Genomic DNA, 16,197 nt, shown 5'->3' with positions numbered 1-16,197 from the left:
TGTGGCCCTATGACATGGACTACCCCAGGCCAAGTCAGTTCCAGAGCCTCCTTAGAGAGTTAGGTTCCTTGCTCCTCTGGGCCTGAGTTTTCTGGTGGGTAACAGCAGTTTCCATCAACACCCATTCCTTCCCCAAAGACTCCAAGAACAGAGTCAAAAGTGAACAGAGGCAGTACAAAAATTATTTATTGAAAAGGGAAAGGGTGGCCCCTTGCTGGTGCCCCCCTGGCCCTGGCCAAAAGGGGTTGCCACTGCTCATTATCTGAATGCAGAAAGTCTGTCCACCCCTTACCTTTAATAACCTTAAAGGGGAAGTGCCGTGGTGGACTGGTAAGTCAAGAGAATCCATCTCAGGAACAGCACTTCCAGGCCCTTGCCTTTAAGAACTCCTTAAAGGCAAAGTGGACACATGCCGCACCAGATGAGAGCCAGAACGTTTTCGGGAAGGTCCCTGGAGGAAGTGTTTTCGTGTCTTTACCTTTAAGACTCTCTTAAAGGTGAGGCATGTTCACGCAGCGTACAAAGGAGGCAAACTCCGTCAAGGAGTCTACGAAGCACTTTTCCAGATCTTGCTTTTAGAATCTCTTTACAGATGAGGTGGCCAAGCGCGAATTAATAAAAAACAAAATACCTTGCAGAATTATTTTTCTTCCCGACCCAGCAGAACCCGCCCCGCTCACCGGCCGCCTTCAGGTCTGCGTCCTCGCCTTCTAGGCGCCCTGAGGCCCAAAGCTCCAGAGAACGCGTTGGGGCGGGTGTGGAGGTGCCGCCGAGCGGCCCCGGGCCGCCCCCGGCGGTCACACCGGGGCATCCTGGGAGTTTTTGGTTTCCTAGACGGCCTCCACCAAGGAAGCCGGACGGGGGCGGGGCGGGGCGAGGGGGGGCGAGCGGAGGGCGCGGTGACCATGGCGACCGCAGTGGCCATGGCGACCGCGGCTCAGAGCACCGAGAGGTCGTGACACGACCTGGAGCGCTGCTTGAAGAACTTGGCGTTGCGCGGCACCAGGTTGGCGAGGAACCTCTTGGCTTTCTTGGTGAGGCTCTCGCGGCGTGCAGGTGGCGCAGGGCCCTCGGGGCTGCCCGGATCGGGCCTCTGGCCTCCGGCGTGGTTTCGGCCCCGCCGCAGCCGGATCTGGCGCACCGCGCCCTCGAAGAGCTCCCTCGTGTTGTGGTGCAGTGCGGCCGACGTCTCGATGTGCTTGCAGCTCAGCGTCCCGGCCAGGTGGCGGCCCTCTGCAGGAAGGCACCGGCTCAGGCGCCCGCTGGGCTGTACGGGACCCGGGGCGAGGGTGGGTCTAGGGAGGGCCTGGGCGTGCGGTGGCAAGGGATTGGTACTAGTGAATCTTGCAACCGAGAGAACATGGCTGAGCTCATATGGTGGGTCTGTGGAGGTGCGAAGGAGAGGGAGAAGGAGGCCTAGGAGAGAGGTGAGGGGAAGTGACAAGAAGGGATTCTCAGGATCCTCGAGTGGGGCATTGGGAGTGTCCCCCTAGCCTGGGTCTGATTGCAAGTGAGTGCGTCCGCGATGGTAAAAAGGCCTTAGGGAGAAGAGGTGACTTGGAAGGGAGAGCATTCCCCTGAGATCGCAAGTATGGAATCTGTTCAGGATACACACCCTCCAGTGATACCTCCCGGGAGCGGGCCAAGTCGCTCTTGTTTCCAACGAGGATAACGGGTAGGTCGTGGTGCGGCCTCCCAGCCCGGAGCCGAAGTAGGGTCTCTGGAACTTTGGAGAAACTCCGTCGGTCGGTGACTGAGAAGACGATGAGAAAGGCGTCCCCGGTCTGAAGGCAGTGGTCCCGCAGCCACCCTCCTGCATCCCCCTGCAGACAGGCAGAGGAACGTTAGGGCTGGAGGCATAGGAGATCCTGTCCAGCACCTACACCTCAAAGAGGAGGAACAGGGCTGTGAGGCAGAAAGAAGCCACCTGCTTAGGACAGCAGAGCTAGTTAATGGCAGAATCTCCCTACCCAGAGTGTTTGTGGAGGCGGAAGAAATTAGTAATATGAGGATCCTAGACTAGGGTAGCCATCCTAATTTCTTAAGCTCTTGATTCAAAAATGAATATTATTCACACGTCTGTAATTTGGCCTCTTATTTCTACATAGTAACCTTTATGTCCAAATATTCAGAAGTCCTCACTTTTTTCCCCCTTCCCTGATATTCCAGATCCCTGAGCTCTTGTCTTGTCACATCAGATTCCTTCAGGCTGAAAAATTTATGGATGGAGTCAATTTCAGGGTGTCCAGCCTAGCTTGGAGCTGCAGGGTTTGTCAAATTCCCATCCTAAGTTTGCTCTGAGTCAGAAGATCCTGGAAAGACTGTGGGTCTTAACAGCCACAGGCTGTAGTGTGGGTCTTTGCTTTCTGAGGTGATATGAATGAAAGGTCAGGTTCCAGTACATGTGGAAACCAGGACCAGCAGTCCCACCAGCCTTCAGCCAGACTTTGCCCTTCCCCAGTTCTCCCAGCTTCATCACCTGCCTGCAGCCACATCTTAGTTCTCACCTGTTCCCAGATGTCATAAACGACTAGAGTCACTTCCTCCTTATCCACCATGATGCGTCTCTCATAGGTATCCTCTGCTGGGAAATAGGGAGAGGGTATAAAGTCCATTAGGAGGTTTCCCAACATTTGTGAGACCTGGTAACCAGGGACACCTCAGATCTCAGCACCAGGGAACCCTGCCCCTCTTCAGGGAGGCTGCCACAGAAAGCATTGGAAAAGCTTCTGTTAAGCTCTGTCCTTCAGGGGCTGCTCAGGTCACGAGCACTTCCTTCCCTGACCAGGGCCCCAGAGCCCCCTCAACCCCTGGAGGGCTTCCCCAAATACCTGGGTTCTCCGGTTCGTGAGCACTGTCTCCCTGGAGACCACCAAAAGTGCCTGCTAGGGTGCTCTTGCCCACGCCGCTCTCCCCCACTAGCATGACCTTGAAGATGCCATCCTTTTGAGCAGGGGCTGCCTCCCCTGAGCCCAAGGAGTCAGACGAGCCAGAGGATGAGGCCTGAGGTGGCCAGTCAAGTTCATCTACAGCCTGGGCCCGCCGGAGCTGGTGCTTGTAGGGGACAGGCATACTGCCTCTTCGTCTGGGGGCCCCAGGGGCAGAGGGTAACCCGCTCCGGTCCAACTCTGCCAACAGTTTCTCTGACTTCTTTAGTAGCGTGGCATCTGCTTCTAAAATAAAATGGGAGGGCAAAGAAAAGGAAGCTATGAGTGGGATATGCTCAACCATATGCAGAAGGCTCAATCCAGGCTGTTCCAGTATCAGAGGCCCAGCTACACCCACTTGATGACCATTACCCAGAAGGAACTGAGAATGTCTGGCCTGACCTCTTACACTAAAGTCTCCAGAAGCCTGAACTGGAGTTGACATGATAGCTTCTCCAATGCGGTCCCAACCCCAACCTATTCAAAACGTGCCCCATGCAGGGAAGGGACCTGAATGCAGGCTCACATACCCACTCACACTTTACACTGATACACAGGCAAACCCCCAGACTAGGCCTCTGGCCCTGTACGGTGGAGTTGGGGGAGGTTTGGGGAAGCTGCCTCTTTTTCCATCAAGAGGCCCTTCCTCCTCCTGTTTCCAGCACTGGTAATCCCCAAACTGAGGAGCAGAGAGGATGACAAGCTGAAACTGCTGCCCAGTGTCTGGGGAGTAGGTATAGCAGAGTAAAAAACTTTGTAGTGAGCTTCTTCCTAGGAAAGGGCCTTTGCTTTTTGAGATGATGTGCGTGCTGGGTCTCTGTGGGTTCTCTGTGTGTGTGTGTGAGAGAGAGAGAGGGGCTGCTGCTTCCCGTGGCCCTGTAGGTGAGCATCCCTCATTGCGTGGTTGGATGTGAGAATCCTGCATCCCTGTCTGTCCCTGTGAGTGGGAGAGAATATTGTGTTCATAGAGCAGTAGAAGTAGAGAGAGAGAGATAGTGTGTGTGTGTGTGTGTGTGTGTGAGCGAAAGGGAGAGTGACAATGCGTGGGTCAGGGTAACTGGAGGAGGAACAACAGACACAACAAAGGGGGCTAGAGGGAGGCTGGAAATAGCCCAGGATCAATACTTGGCCAGCAGCCAGGGCCTCCAGCAGCCAGAAGAACCCTTACAATAGTTCCCCGGGGTAGCCCCTGCCTGTGATTCCCAGGCTTGTGGGCTGCCCCTTTCCTCTCCCCTTCCTTCTTGCCTGTTCCAGCCTCGGGAATGAGGCTGAGCTAGGGGCCATGTACCAGTTTCTCAAGCAAAGCCCTGGGAGTGCTGGGGGAGGGGGCATTTAGGCAGCTCTTCCCCTCCACCCTAGCCCAGCCCCAATCCCTTGTGTGAGCAGGGGTCTTCTCCACTTTCTCAATTGCTCTTCTCCTCTTGCTGACTGAGCTCAAGCTCCCTCAACCCCTAGTTCTGACCTCCCCACCAAAGCTTCAGCTCCCACCCCCATGGTTTCAGCCGGAACCTGCCCAGGTTAGCCCTCACCTGGTGTGGGCGTCCCTGGAGGGGAGGCCCGGCGGCTGCCAGAGGGGCAGAGTGCTGTGGTTTCTGTGTCCATGTCCATGTCTGTGTCCAGGTCCGTGTGCATCAGTGTGCGTGTGCGTGTGCGTGTGCGTGTGCAGCCCAGCAGCTCGCAGCACCCTCTCCCTCACTCAGCAGCACTGTCAGCTTTTCCCTTTAAATACCACCCCCCCCCCCGACACACACACATGCCCTCCCCCCTAGACACCTGGGGAAATTGTCCCACCCCCTGATGAGGTCACACATGCTAATGAGCAGTGATGTCAGCGGGATTCCCTCCTTTCTGCCCCCCCTCCCTTTTCTTTGTGTCGCTTCTCTCTGGGAGCACACACACTGCAGAGCTTGGTTGAGTTATGACAGAACAGTCAAGGGGCAGAACAGACAAGGGTTGCAGGGGGTGTCAGTGGGTAAGGGAGCTCAGGGTGACAGAAGGCAGGGACCTGGGGAGGTGAAGGTCTTTCTCCAGCAGCCAGGACTACGCATCATTTGTCTTTGTATTTCCAGACCCCTAGCCCAGTGTCTAGCCCAGAGAGCGTGCTCAGTGGCTGCACAGGGGCAAGAGGCAGAAAGATTAAAAGCTGGTCTGAAAGACAAAGAGATGCAGGCCAAAAGAGGTGTGGGGACTGAGGGTCAGCCACCCTGCCACCTTTTCCTTCTCCACCCTGCCTCTTCTGGGCTAAGAGCCACGAAAGTACTCATTTCCCAGCCCCTAGGCAGATGCGGGCTCTGAGGAAGGAAATTCAGCTGCTTCATTTGGGCAGCTTCATTTTGCCACTAAGTTCAGGTAGGGGCAAACCACTGTGGAGACTCTTCCACCTTCTCTCCCTGCCAGGCCCACCAAGCTAACGATAATCAGAGCAGGAAAAAAGGGTGAGACAAAGCTAGCTATCTCAAACACGAGGTTCCCAATCTTAAGTGGGTGGGGAAGGGGGAGTGCCAGCTACCCCCCAACTCCCCTACCCACTGTTAATGTTTTTTTGGTGCAGCTGCCAGGCCTTCTGGGCTATGCAAGGCAGGTACGCAATGGGTGATGTCTGCCTGTTTGTAGGAAGCCCAGATAGCACATCTCTTTTACCGTTCTTTTTCTGCCCAGTTCCCTTTCCCTTCAGGTTCCTTCTCCTGCCCCTTTCCTTCTTGTCCTCCTTCCTGACACCCTTAAGCTCCCAGACACACGTTCCGATTTCCTTTCCTTGCCCCGTTTTTGCCAGATGCTGTGCTAAGTACTTTCTTGCATTATCTCCTTTCATCTTCTTGAGCCCAAGGCCCACAGTGGTAGGTGGGTGCCCCGTCCCTAAAGCAATCTTGCAGCTGGAAAATGGGAACACCAGGAATCCCACCCACATCTTTCCAGTGCCAAGGATTTTTCATTTCTACATTGTGCAGCTTTCCTTCTCTTAAATATTCCAACTGTCTCCTATTATTGGGAACAGTCTATATTGCTATCCTCAGTGGACTCTTCCAATGGAAGAGGCAAAGAATAATCTTGGGAACAATGTGCAGTGACACTTCACTTATTTGGAGGTCAGCTATAGGGCAACAGTGCAGGGTTTGAGGGAGCAGAAAGGACCCCTCAGCTGCTAAAATACTCCTGTGCTTTACTCACTGGGTAGATTCTCCAGTCCTCAGTCATGGCCTACTTACTTTTACTTTTTACTTACTTTTATTCACAATTTTAACGTGTCCATGTGTGTTCCTGTACTAGTAGATTAGAAACACATTTAGAGTAGCAAGTGACCCCTTGTAGTCAGGGAGGCAACACCACACACACACAAAATAACATTTAAAGCACTCATATGCATTTTATAAGTGGTCTAAGGTCATTTAGCATAAAAGCAAATAGCTCCCCGTGCCCCTACTGTTACAACTTCAGAAGACACTGCTGGAGAAAAGCCATTGGTTTCTGTGAATGATCCTCAGTTATGCAGAAAATTATTATATTGCAGATATGCTGAAGACAAGTGTAACATTTTAGAATGACTTCCTTCCAAAATGAGTATTTTTATTTTTTTCAGAGGGAGGGTCTCACCCTATTGCTCGGGCTGGACTGCAGTGGTGCGATCATGGCTCACTGTAACCTCAACCTCCCGGGTTGTGCACTTGCCCGTATCCAGGCTCCCTCAGGAATGGGAGGTCCCATGGAATGGTGGGACAAGGGTGAGATTTGGAACGAAGCCATGCCGGCTCTAAATCCACCACTTGGTAGAGACTGGGCCAGTCTTCTGATTTCCCTAAAGCTCCTCCTGAGCTTGCAAAATGGGGTTTATGATGCCCATGGCCCAGCCCTGTTGTGTGGGTTCACTTCAGGTGATGAAGAATCTGGCATCATCGGGCACTCACTTTTTTTTTTGAGATGGAGTCTTGTCTCGCTCTGTTGCCAGGCTGGAGTGCAGTGGCGCGATCTCAGCTCACTGCAACCTTTGCCTCCCAGGTTCAAGTGATTCTCCTGCTTCAGCCTCCCGAGTAGATGGGACTACAGGCACGCACCACCATGCCCAGCTTATTTTTGTATTTTTAGTAGAGACACGGTGTCACCATGTTGGCCAGGATGGTCTTGATCTCTTGACCTCGTGATCCGCCTGCCTCGGCCTCCCAAAGTGCTGGGATTACAGGTGTGAGCCACTGCGCCCCATCCAGGCACTCACTCTCTAACCACCTAGGTGCTTCTGCAGCCTTGGGCTGTGTGGCTGGGGGGTCCTTCTCCCCTCCTAGTGAGGTCTGGAGCTTGGTTCAGGCCCATGATTTTTTTTTTAAATCTATTTATTTATTTTGAGACCAGGTTGTGAGACTGGCTAATTTTTAGTATTTTTGGTAGAGACAGGGTTTCATCATGTTGCCCAGGCTGTTCTTGAACTCTTGGCCTCAAGCGATCCGCCTGCCTTGGCCCCTCCAAAGTGCTGGGATTACAGGTGTGAGCTACTGCGCCTGGCAGAATTTTGTTTCTTAAGGACTGAGTTCTGGTATCTTCTTTTCTTTTTTTTTGGAGAAGGAGTCTCGCTCTGTCACCCAGGCTAGAGTGCAGTGGCGCGATCTCCACTCACTGCAACCTCCGCCTCCCGGGTTCAAGCAATTCTCCTGCCTCAGCCTCTCGAGTAGCTGGGACTACAGGTGCATGCCGCCACACCTGGCTACTTTTTTGTATTTTAGTAGAGACAGGGTTTCACCGTGTTGCTCAGGCTAGTCTCGAACTCCTGAGCTCAGGCAGTCTGCCTGCCTTGGCCTCCCAAAGTGCTAGGATTACAGGCGAAAGCCACCGTGGCCCAGCCCTGGTATCTTCTTTTATCTTAGGCTCTAGACTCTGATTCACAGCCTGAACCCTATCTCATGCTGAAAACACCTCCCACCTTCCCACCAAGAGCCTTAACGTGGGTCCCACACCGCTAAGACCAAGCACCTTGGATATTGGTATCTATCTTGATGGAATTTTAGGTTGCCTCATTTCTTTTTTTCTTGGGCCCTGGTGGAAATAAACCTGAGTGACTGCTCCCCAGTGCCATCACTTGGGCAGGACACTCTGTCTTAGTTTCTCCATGCTGCCTGTACAAGGTCAGTCCCCTATCCCGGCTAGCTTGGGGCTTCACTGTGGCTGACAAGAGTATTATTACTACCTACACCTCGTACAGCACACAACCAGAACCTAGAGAAACTTCTTTCAGGCCCACTGATCTATAAGCACAAGCCTCCTTAGTGAACTCTGCCCTAAAGTCCTCCTTCCAGCATTTGGAAGCATTCCACCATGAGGAGCAGGTTTACCTTAAGTCTTTGTCCACTTTCAGTTTGCAATACCACTAGGAGAGAAAAGGTCTGGATGAAGGGATGAAGATATCAGGCTGCAGGTATTTGAGGTGGCTATGGGGGAAGAGAAGAGCAAAGGAGAGGGCAAAAGACCAGGCTATGGAGAGGCAGGGGAGGGAAAATCACTGCTTCACTATTTCCATTGGGCCTGACGCTGAGTGGATCCTGGATTGTTTGCGTTTGGGAAGGAGGGCCCAAAGGGAGAACAGTAAGCAAGAACCAGGTTCTCCAGAGCCCTCTCCCCAGTCTCTGGAGAGGGTCTGCAGTGAAAGGAGCTCGGGTCTTCCCTGAGCCAAGGTGCCAGGGTCCCAGAACTGCACATGGGCCCACACCCCTCTCTGCTACTTCCTCAGGCTCTTGCTCACTAGAAGAGAGGAAAATTGTGCAATTAGTGCTGGGTTTGAGGAGGCTGACAGGGTGTAATCAACAGGGCCTCTCCACCAGGTGTGGGGCTAGGCTGGGTGATGGGCTCTGCCAGGCGTGGGGCTAGGCTGGGTGACAGGCTCTGCCAGGTGTGGGGCTAGACAAGGAGAGCCTGAGGGGAGCCTCTTTCCCCAGGGACTGGGTCCGTTAGGGAATTCCTCAGTTTTGTTCCTGAGGCATCACTCCCACCCCCACAGCTTCCTTCTACATCTTCTGCCTCGATCTTCCTTCCAAACTCTGGGGCAGCTTCTGTCACTTTGCTCACTAGGGGCTGGGTTCCAACACTGCTTGCGAATCATTCCCTCCATCACCCACCCCAGCGCTGCAGCTCTGGCCGCTGCTTGTGCTCTCAGGCCCAGGGTCTTTCCTATAACCCTTGCCCTCTTGTCTCCTCCGTTTGCTTGTTCTGGGGACACTCCCCCTGTCTAGAATTCACAGCTCTATTCCAACTGCTGACAGCATTCTTTTGGTTCCAGTTTGGGCCCTCTTCCAGGAAGACCTCTTGGATTTGGCCATGGTGATGCCAGCACCACACACCCTGAATGTTTGTGAATTCTCCCTCCACTCACCTTTGCCTGCCTTGAGGTATCCTGGCTGAGAATTCATCTGTCTTGCATAGGACAGACTGCTAAATGCCTGGTGGGTGTGGAGGGTGGAGGGTAGGAGTCATGACTCCTGTGTCCCACCAGGGACAGCTGCTCCTATGATCTGGGCTCAGGGTATGCTCCAAAAATGAGAACCTTCCTGACCGCAGGGCCCAGCTGGCTCCCCTGACTTCTATGCTGGCAGTGAGGAAAGAGGCCCTGGAGTCAGTCATTGCAGAGCTGGGCCCCAGGCATTTGAGTGAAAATGGAGAGGATTGATCCTTAGGGTTCCTAGAATTTTCTTACCTTCTGTGTGGTATAAAAATCAAGAGTGCAGTGGTTGGGAGATGAACAGGAAGAGGGCAGGAGGTAGAGGGCCAAGCAAAGGGCTCCACAGGGAGGAGTGGGATGAGGTGAGCATAGACTGAGATGGGCAGAGGCGGGGCTCAGGCTCGCAGCTAATTTGCAAAATTTTGAGATGTATGATTCCTTTATTTTTGACCTCAACTTACTGAGCAATGCCGTAGCTATGGAATAGAAGCATTTGTTGCACTCTTTTTGTGAGCCAGGCCCTGTAGGAGGGATTGTGGATGGCAAAACCTCAGGTTCTGCCCAAATCCTCCCCTTGGGGGCTGGAGGGTCTCTAGTTAATTGGCATTCCGGTGCTTAAGGCCACTTTTGGGTAGAGGTTTGGCAAGGATGGAGTGTCCAGACCTATGATCCTCTAAGAACTTTACTTTTTAAAAACAGCCACCCAAATGGTGGTGGCGTGGGGAGCAGGTGGTGGTGAAGGGACTGGGGTGTCTGGCCATGGCCACGTACAGAGGAGACTCTGTGAGCCCTCTCCCTGCCTGAGGGACACTTAACTTTATAGCAGCTACATAGGGTCAACGGGAGGCCCACCAAGTCCCTGAAATCCAGGGACAGGGAAGGAAGTGGTGGAGGGGAGGCTGACCCACCTCTAAAAGGTTGTGCCACTATGAGTAGAGCCCCCAGGGGAGAGGCCTCAGTAGAGCCCCCAGGTCCCCTCAGGTAAGCAGTGGCTCATCCTCTGCCTCAGCTACCCACACCCCCGGCTCAGCCAGTGGCACCAGTAGCACATCGTCCTCATCTTCCAGGGCCAGGACTGCTGTGTGGGGTCCAGGGGGGCTCCGGGTTGGTCCTGGGGGCCCCAGGCTGGGCAACAGGCGGCCTCGCAGGGCCTGCACCACTCCAGACAATAGTGATGGCTCTAGGGGCAGTGAGGGCAGTGGCCCTGGGGCTTCAGGGACAGTAGTGGGGGCTGGAGACGTGCTAGCAGATGGGAGGGGAGCCTTGATGGGCAGTGGGGGTGCCTGCTCCCCATCTTGCCCACCCACTGCCCCGCCCTCACGGGCTGGACCTGTGCCACCATCTAGGGCCTCAAGGGGAGCAGCAGAAGGTGTGACCTGGGATCTGGCCTCAGAGGCCCGAGCCGGGGTGTTGGTTCGAGGGAGCAAGCCCCAGCGGCGGAGACGGCGTACCAGGCGTCGCATCAAGCGGCCCCGCTGACGACGGCGGGCACCTGGGCCACCTCCTGGAGTCATATCCTGGCGTAAGATCTGTAGCAGAGAACGCAGGTTGCCCAGCACTGAGTTCTGCAAGGAAATGAGGAGGCCTCAGAGTCAGAGGGCCAAAGGCTGAATGAAGGAGGGTACAGGGGCGGGGCCACAGCAGAACTGGGACCAGGAGGTGCTAGGGTTGTGGGGAGTGACTTACATCATTAGGATTCTCTGTAGGAAAGTCTTCTACAGGTGGGATGGCACCCTGGGCAATGAGCTGCCCGTAGGAAGGGGGTGCCTGCTGCTGCACAATCTCAGCCTCCATCCGGGAGAGGGGGGCAAAGATGCTAGAAGGAATGAGGACTGCTCAGTCACTGGTAGTTCTCGGCCAGAGTAGACCACCTCAGCCTGGACAGTCCTCCCACTTCCACACCCGGGCCAGGCCAGCTGGAGCTGTGCCATGGCTTTCCCAAAGGTCATCTGAGGTCCCTCCTCCCTTGAAACTGCTTTCAGGATCTGGACCTGTCCCTTACAGGACACAACTGACAAGCTGATCATGGGAGCCTCTCCCCAAGGTGGGCACTTTCGTGGTCTCCTGTAGCTGCACAGCCCAGCCTCACCCTCAGGGTCTACTCTTCTACTGCCAGCCCCACTCCCACTGACCTGTACTCCTGGGTGCGAATGGCATAGAGCTTGCAGGTGCAGCCCAGGGCGATGACCAGGAGCAGGCCGCACACTAGGCTGCCAATGACTGCAGCTGTAATGACCTTGCGGGGCAGAACATAGGAGCAGTCCCACTCATCACTGCCGTCCGCACAGTCTGGCTGCCCATCGCACACCCACGTCTCATACACGCACTTCTCGTCCCGGCATCGGAAATTGCCAGGCTGGCAATGCCGACAGCGTCTCTCATCTGCTCCATCAGCACAGAAAGTCTGGTAGTTGCAGCGGTCAGCAGGCAGGTAGCAGGCTGTGGCACCAGAGGTGCCAGCAGCCCCACAGGGGAAGTGTCCAGGTGGGCAGCCTGGGCAGTCCTCCTCATCTGTGCCGTCAGCACAGTCCCATGAGCCGTCACAGCGCTGTGCCTCACTGTAGCAGCGCTCACCTAGGCCTTCGCCAGCTCCCAGGCCAGAGCCTAAGCCACAGGGTCTGTCCCAAGGCAAGCAATAGCCCCGCACATGGTAGGTGGCATTGAAGCCACGACCATTGCTCCAAGCAACTGTGTGGTAGGACACAACAGCCTGGCCAGACAGTGTCTCCACAGTGACAGCCTTGCCATTGCTGAAGTGGGTGAGACTACGCAGTAGTCGGGAGCTCTCAGGGGGCCCAGGGCCGTCATACACATGCACTGCATCTCCAAAGCCCAAGTCCAGGGCTGTGAAGCGCACGGCCAGCCGCCGGCCATCATGGGGGTCCAGCAGCCAATGGCAGGACTGGGGGTGGGAGACTGAGGCTAGGTGTGTATATCCAGGAGAGGAGAAGACCCCATAGAAGTCCTCCAAGGTGACATTGCAAGGCAGGGAGGGGACGGGTCTTGGGGTCAGGCCAGGGAAGGGGTCTGAGCTGCAACCTGCTTCATCAGAGCCATCGCCACAGGCATCAACCCCATCACAGCGCTGGACAGCAGATACACAGCGGTGGTTCAGGCACTGAAACTCTTCCTGCAGGCACATCAGCCAATCTGCAGAGGCACCATGGAGAGGGGCTGTGAAGCACCAGAACCCTCAGGATCCTCCCCTTCTGCCTGGGGCTTTCACTGCCTGCTCCTCAGACATCCCTGTCCAGCCTACCTTGGCTGTAGGAGAGCAGGAAGCCCTGGCCCATGGGTGCTCTGGCCCCAGCATAGCTGTAAGTGATGGTGACGTTGCCCCCGGGCAGCTGCAGAGGGCTGGGAGGTGCCTCACACAGGGAGATCAGTGGCTGGAGAGGGGAGCGTAGGGTTAAGCGCTCTGAGCCACAGGCCAGGTGTAGCTTCTGGAACCTATGGGAGTAGAGGAGAGCAGGACATGAGATACTCTTGACTGCTGCTGGCTTTCTCCTCCCCTGGTGCCACCAGGCCCCTTGTGTCCCAGGAAGCATAAACATCTGCTTATCCATGATCTAAATGGCCAAATGAAAACTCAGTTAGCCTATTTATTTATTTATTTAGAGACAGAGTTTCACTCTTGTCACCCAGGCTGGAGTGCAATGGTGTGATCTTGGATCACTGCAACCTCCACCTCTTGGGTTCAAGTGAGTCTCCTGCCTCAGCCTCCCAAGTAGCTAGGATTACAGGTGCCCGCCACCACACCTGGCTAATTTTGTATTTTTAATAGAGATGGGGTTTCACCATGTTGGTCAGGCTGGTCTCGAACTCCTGGCCTCAGGTGATCCACCCGCCTTGGTCTCCCAAAGTGCTGGGATTACTGGCGTGAGCCACCATGCCCGGCAGCCAAATTATTTTTAAGTCAATGTAGTCAATGGGGATCTTCCTAACATGGTAGGAATACCTCATGGTATCGCCATGAGACCATAAAATATATCCTAGAGCCCTTTGGAAAAATTGACTTGTGTTCTGGGACTGAGTTAAGAAGAGGTGCACTGCATTCCAGTTGTTGTAGCACTGTCACCCAAGTATGGTACCAGCAGTAACTGGTGATTACCATACAGTTCAATTAACCAGAACTCACCATCTTATCCCACCCCACTGTGCCAGATGTGAGACCTGGATTGGTTCTCCATGGCATTCTGATCCCTTTGCCCCACCAGCCTCTCCACAGATTGCCCTCTCTCTTTGCCTACCCCTTTCTGGGTAAATTCATGGAAAATGAACTATGTGAGGCAAACAGCCAGGTACTTAATATGATCCCCAAACAATGACCAAGGTCAGGGGAGCCTGGGGTGACTTGGAATGTTTAAAAGATCCAGAGAGGCTGAGGGATGTTCTAAGCTGATTAAGGAGTAGTTCTGAATCTCAGGCAGGACATGCAATGAATGGAAGGACTCTTCAGAACAGTTCTATCTGAGCTGAGGACCGTTTGCAGAGGGGCCTCTGTCCTTTGGAGATGCGCAGGACTCAAGCTAGATGTCCACTCCAGCCCAGCTCCACCTCAATTCACTGAGTCTGACCCAGAAAAAGTCAGACTTTTAGGGCACACTAGGCCAAATCAAATTCTACTCTTTACCTGTTGACAAGGATGGAAATTCCATAGAGAAGTGATCCCTGAATGGGCCAGGCCCAGTGGCTCATGCCTTTAATCCCAGCACTTTGGGAGGCCCAGGCGGGTGGATCACTTGAGGTGAGGAGTTCAAGACCAGCCTGGCCAACGTGGTGAAACCCTGTCTCTACTAAAAATACAAAAAAGTTAGCTGGGCATGGTGGCGGGCACCTGCAATCCCAGCTACTCGGGAGGCCAAGACAGGAGAATCACTTGAACCCGGGAGGTGGTGGTTGCAGTGAGCTGAGATCGCGCCATTGCACTCCAGCCCGGGTGACAAGAGTGAAACTCCGTCTCAAAAAAAAAAAAAAAGAAGTGATCCCTGAAGACTTCCAATGGAGGGGAAGGGGCAGGGGAGAAGAATGGGTTCTTGCTCTTGTTCTGCTTCTCACCTGATGGTGACAGTCTGTTCCTTGCTGCCCAGGATGAGCCAGGTGCAGTTGGCAGGGGAGGTGCGGCTGTCCCGGACCAGGGGCCTCTGTAAGGTGCCCTGCACTTCTAAGAGCACTGCTGGGGGGTCCTCACAAGCTGGAGAGAGGAAGGTAGGACACGGGTAGTAGACAGCCCCTTTGCATCCCACCCTTCCCCTTCCGCTTGGAGGCTTGAGGTTTCCAAAAGTCTGGGCTCTGCAAGGAGGAGCAGAGTATCTGCCCCTGCCCACACACAGCCTAGAGTTACAGCCTTCTAGCTTCGCTCTTTCTCTCCACATTCTTCATAGCTTCACCAGTAAATACTAATATCACGAACAATTCTGACGTCTGCTTTGTGCCAGCCACTGAACCAGGAGGAGCAGGAAATACTGCCTCTACCCTCAGGGAGACTACATCCTGGTTAGGACGATCAAGCATAGATATTCCCAGAAAAAATAAAATAGTACATAGCAACTACCAGATGAAGGTCCACACCGAGCCTCAGCTTCCTTATCTATAAATAAAGGCTAAATTATCTCCCCTCTAAAACTTTGGTAGGTCCCATGGAATTCAGGGAACAGAGAGTCCTTCTCGACTGCTCCCTCATTCCCAAGCCCACGGAGCCCCAGAGGTTCCCTCAACTCACCATGATTTGGAAAAATAATCCGGTCTGGATGGGCCAGAGCGCCTCCTAGAGGAGGAACGAGAAAGGGCAGGAGCGTGAGACACTCCTTAGGAGTTTTCTTCTTCACCTGAGCAACTCAAGGGAGCCATCCGGGACTTCCGGGCAGTTAATCGGAAGAGGGAGTGGGGGGCGGGAGAGGGCTGCGGCGTGGGACTTCCATGGAAGGAAGGTCCGGCAGCAGGGCCTTGTGGGGTTGGTGGGGTGATCTAGGGGAAGCCGGAGAGAGGACCAGGGCCCAGCGGAGCAGCTGAAGACTTCCTGGGGGTTGGGGCCGGCAGTGCTGGGGCTGGCGGCAGGGGCTGGGGGGAATGGGCAGGCAGGATAGAGTGCGGGGCCGCACTGGAGGGAGTTAGAGCTGCTGGCCCGGTGACAGAAGGCTGGGGGTTGGTATCGTTTCGGTTCTTACCAAGGAGGAGGAGGAGGAGGGTGGCCAACAGCATCCTGGGCTGTCCAGAGGTGCCGGAAGGGTCCCGGAGCTTCTGTGGTCTACCCGATGGGGTCGCGGCGGAGCCCCGGGCGCCCAGGCTCCCTGGTGCCGCCTCCCCAGGGGGGCTCCATGGCCCGGGCTCGACCCGTACTCTGGATGCCAGGGCTGGGGGCGGGGAGGCGGCGGCAGCCCGGGAGTAGGGGCGGTGCCTTTCGCCAACTTTGGAGTTGTTTTCTCCGTCCGCCGCCGCACTCTTCTCTCCCGGGGCCGGCTCCTGAAGCCCCGGGTCTCGGCACTGGGGCGCGCCCTCGCCTACAGCCCGCCCGCAGGCAGCGAGCGCCCCTGGTCTGGCCTGGTCGCCACCTGCCGGGGTTTGAGACCACTTCCTCTTCGGGCCAAACTTTGCCGACTGTCAGCCCCCAGGGCCGGCCGGGTGCTGCTCCACTCCTCCAGCGCGTCCAGCCAGCGGAGCGCGACAGGGAAGCGGGGGAGGGGAAGAGGTGGCTCGGCCCGGCGCCCCGGCCCTTGCCCAGGCGGTACCCCCGCCCGCCCAGGGGTTGGAGTAGCCGGGGCGGGTGACAAGCCCGGTCCCACCCCTGCCAATCAACGCACGGGCCACACCCACTTGCTCGCCTTAACCCCTTTCCCGGCCCTGCCGGACTTGTCA

The 16,197-nt window shown here is 55.3% G+C and overlaps 2 protein-coding genes across 11 annotated transcripts, besides 5 other annotated features; both read right to left on the bottom strand.

Annotated features, from left to right (window-relative positions):
• Positions 1-168: 168 nt before the first annotated feature.
• Positions 169-4,625, bottom strand: REM2 (RRAD and GEM like GTPase 2). Of its 8 annotated transcripts, none has more exons than XM_005267383.4 (5): positions 4,457-4,625; positions 2,832-3,173; positions 2,508-2,584; positions 1,616-1,823; positions 169-1,233 (listed from the first exon to the last, which is right to left on the bottom strand). In XM_005267383.4, exons 1-5 carry the CDS (start codon positions 4,557-4,559, stop codon positions 938-940), a joined length of 1,026 nt encoding a protein of 341 aa, XP_005267440.1. In that variant the 5' UTR covers positions 4,560-4,625; the 3' UTR covers positions 169-937. The 8 variants fall into 8 exon arrangements, with proteins under 8 accessions (XP_005267440.1, NP_775798.2, XP_047287001.1 ...); NM_173527.3 differs by having other exon boundaries at positions 2,508-2,581; XM_047431045.1 differs by lacking the exon at positions 2,508-2,584.
• Positions 740-1,069: a silencer, noted in NCBI's record as "silent region_5594". NCBI's record gives its function as "represses an Ori minimal core promoter by ATAC-STARR-seq in GM12878 lymphoblastoid cells {active_cell/tissue: GM12878}" and the evidence as "EXISTENCE:reporter gene assay evidence [ECO:0000049][PMID:35858748]".
• Positions 1,310-1,379: a silencer, noted in NCBI's record as "silent region_5593". NCBI's record gives its function as "represses an Ori minimal core promoter by ATAC-STARR-seq in GM12878 lymphoblastoid cells {active_cell/tissue: GM12878}" and the evidence as "EXISTENCE:reporter gene assay evidence [ECO:0000049][PMID:35858748]".
• Positions 3,836-4,373: an enhancer, noted in NCBI's record as "H3K4me1 hESC enhancer chr14:23352683-23353220 (GRCh37/hg19 assembly coordinates)". NCBI's record gives its function as "activates a minimal SCP1, AML or CMV promoter by ChIP-STARR-seq in primed H9 embryonic stem cells {active_cell/tissue: H9 hESC(primed)}" and the evidence as "EXISTENCE:reporter gene assay evidence [ECO:0000049][PMID:30033119]".
• Positions 4,374-4,912: an enhancer, noted in NCBI's record as "H3K4me1 hESC enhancer chr14:23352144-23352682 (GRCh37/hg19 assembly coordinates)". NCBI's record gives its function as "activates a minimal SCP1, AML or CMV promoter by ChIP-STARR-seq in primed H9 embryonic stem cells {active_cell/tissue: H9 hESC(primed)}" and the evidence as "EXISTENCE:reporter gene assay evidence [ECO:0000049][PMID:30033119]".
• LRP10 (LDL receptor related protein 10) lies at positions 6,134-16,107 on the bottom strand. Of its 3 annotated transcripts, NM_001329226.2 has the most exons (8): positions 15,510-16,107; positions 15,065-15,109; positions 14,401-14,536; positions 12,602-12,792; positions 11,475-12,492; positions 11,029-11,158; positions 10,794-10,907; positions 6,134-8,648 (listed from the first exon to the last, which is right to left on the bottom strand). In NM_001329226.2, exons 1-8 carry the CDS (start codon positions 15,541-15,543, stop codon positions 8,646-8,648), a joined length of 1,671 nt encoding a protein of 556 aa, NP_001316155.1. In that variant the 5' UTR covers positions 15,544-16,107; the 3' UTR covers positions 6,134-8,645. The 3 variants fall into 3 exon arrangements, with proteins under 3 accessions (NP_001316155.1, XP_005267567.1, NP_054764.2); XM_005267510.2 differs by having other exon boundaries at positions 6,134-10,907; positions 11,475-12,516; NM_014045.5 differs by having other exon boundaries at positions 6,134-10,907.
• Positions 15,405-16,194: a silencer, noted in NCBI's record as "silent region_5592". NCBI's record gives its function as "represses an Ori minimal core promoter by ATAC-STARR-seq in GM12878 lymphoblastoid cells {active_cell/tissue: GM12878}" and the evidence as "EXISTENCE:reporter gene assay evidence [ECO:0000049][PMID:35858748]".

This window comes from Homo sapiens, chromosome 14, assembly GCF_000001405.40.
Source record: "Homo sapiens chromosome 14, GRCh38.p14 Primary Assembly".
In the NCBI taxonomy this organism is placed as follows: Eukaryota; Metazoa; Chordata; class Mammalia; order Primates; family Hominidae; genus Homo; species Homo sapiens.
Note: the sequence above shows the minus strand (reverse complement) of the source record. Positions and strands in the feature narration are given on the sequence as shown.

Excerpts from the sequence above, each read along its gene's own strand:
- REM2 (XM_017021058.2), bottom strand. The coding sequence starts at position 3,372 with ATGTCAACTCCAGTTCAGGCTTCTGGAGACTTTAGTGTAAGAGGTCAG. Across the intron at positions 2,585-2,831 it reads TCACGAACCGGAGAACCCAG|CAGAGGATACCTATGAGAGA; the intron begins GTATTTGGGGAA and ends CCTATTTCCCAG. Across the intron at positions 1,824-2,507 it reads TTTATGACATCTGGGAACAG|GGGGATGCAGGAGGGTGGCT; the intron begins GTGAGAACTAAG and ends GCCTGTCTGCAG.
- LRP10 (XM_005267510.2), bottom strand. The coding sequence starts at position 15,543 with ATGCTGTTGGCCACCCTCCTCCTCCTCCTCCTTG. Across the intron at positions 15,110-15,509 it reads CCTCCTCCTCCTCCTCCTTG|GAGGCGCTCTGGCCCATCCA; the intron begins GTAAGAACCGAA and ends TTCCTCCTCTAG. Across the intron at positions 14,537-15,064 it reads GATTATTTTTCCAAATCATG|CTTGTGAGGACCCCCCAGCA; the intron begins GTGAGTTGAGGG and ends TCCTCTCTCCAG.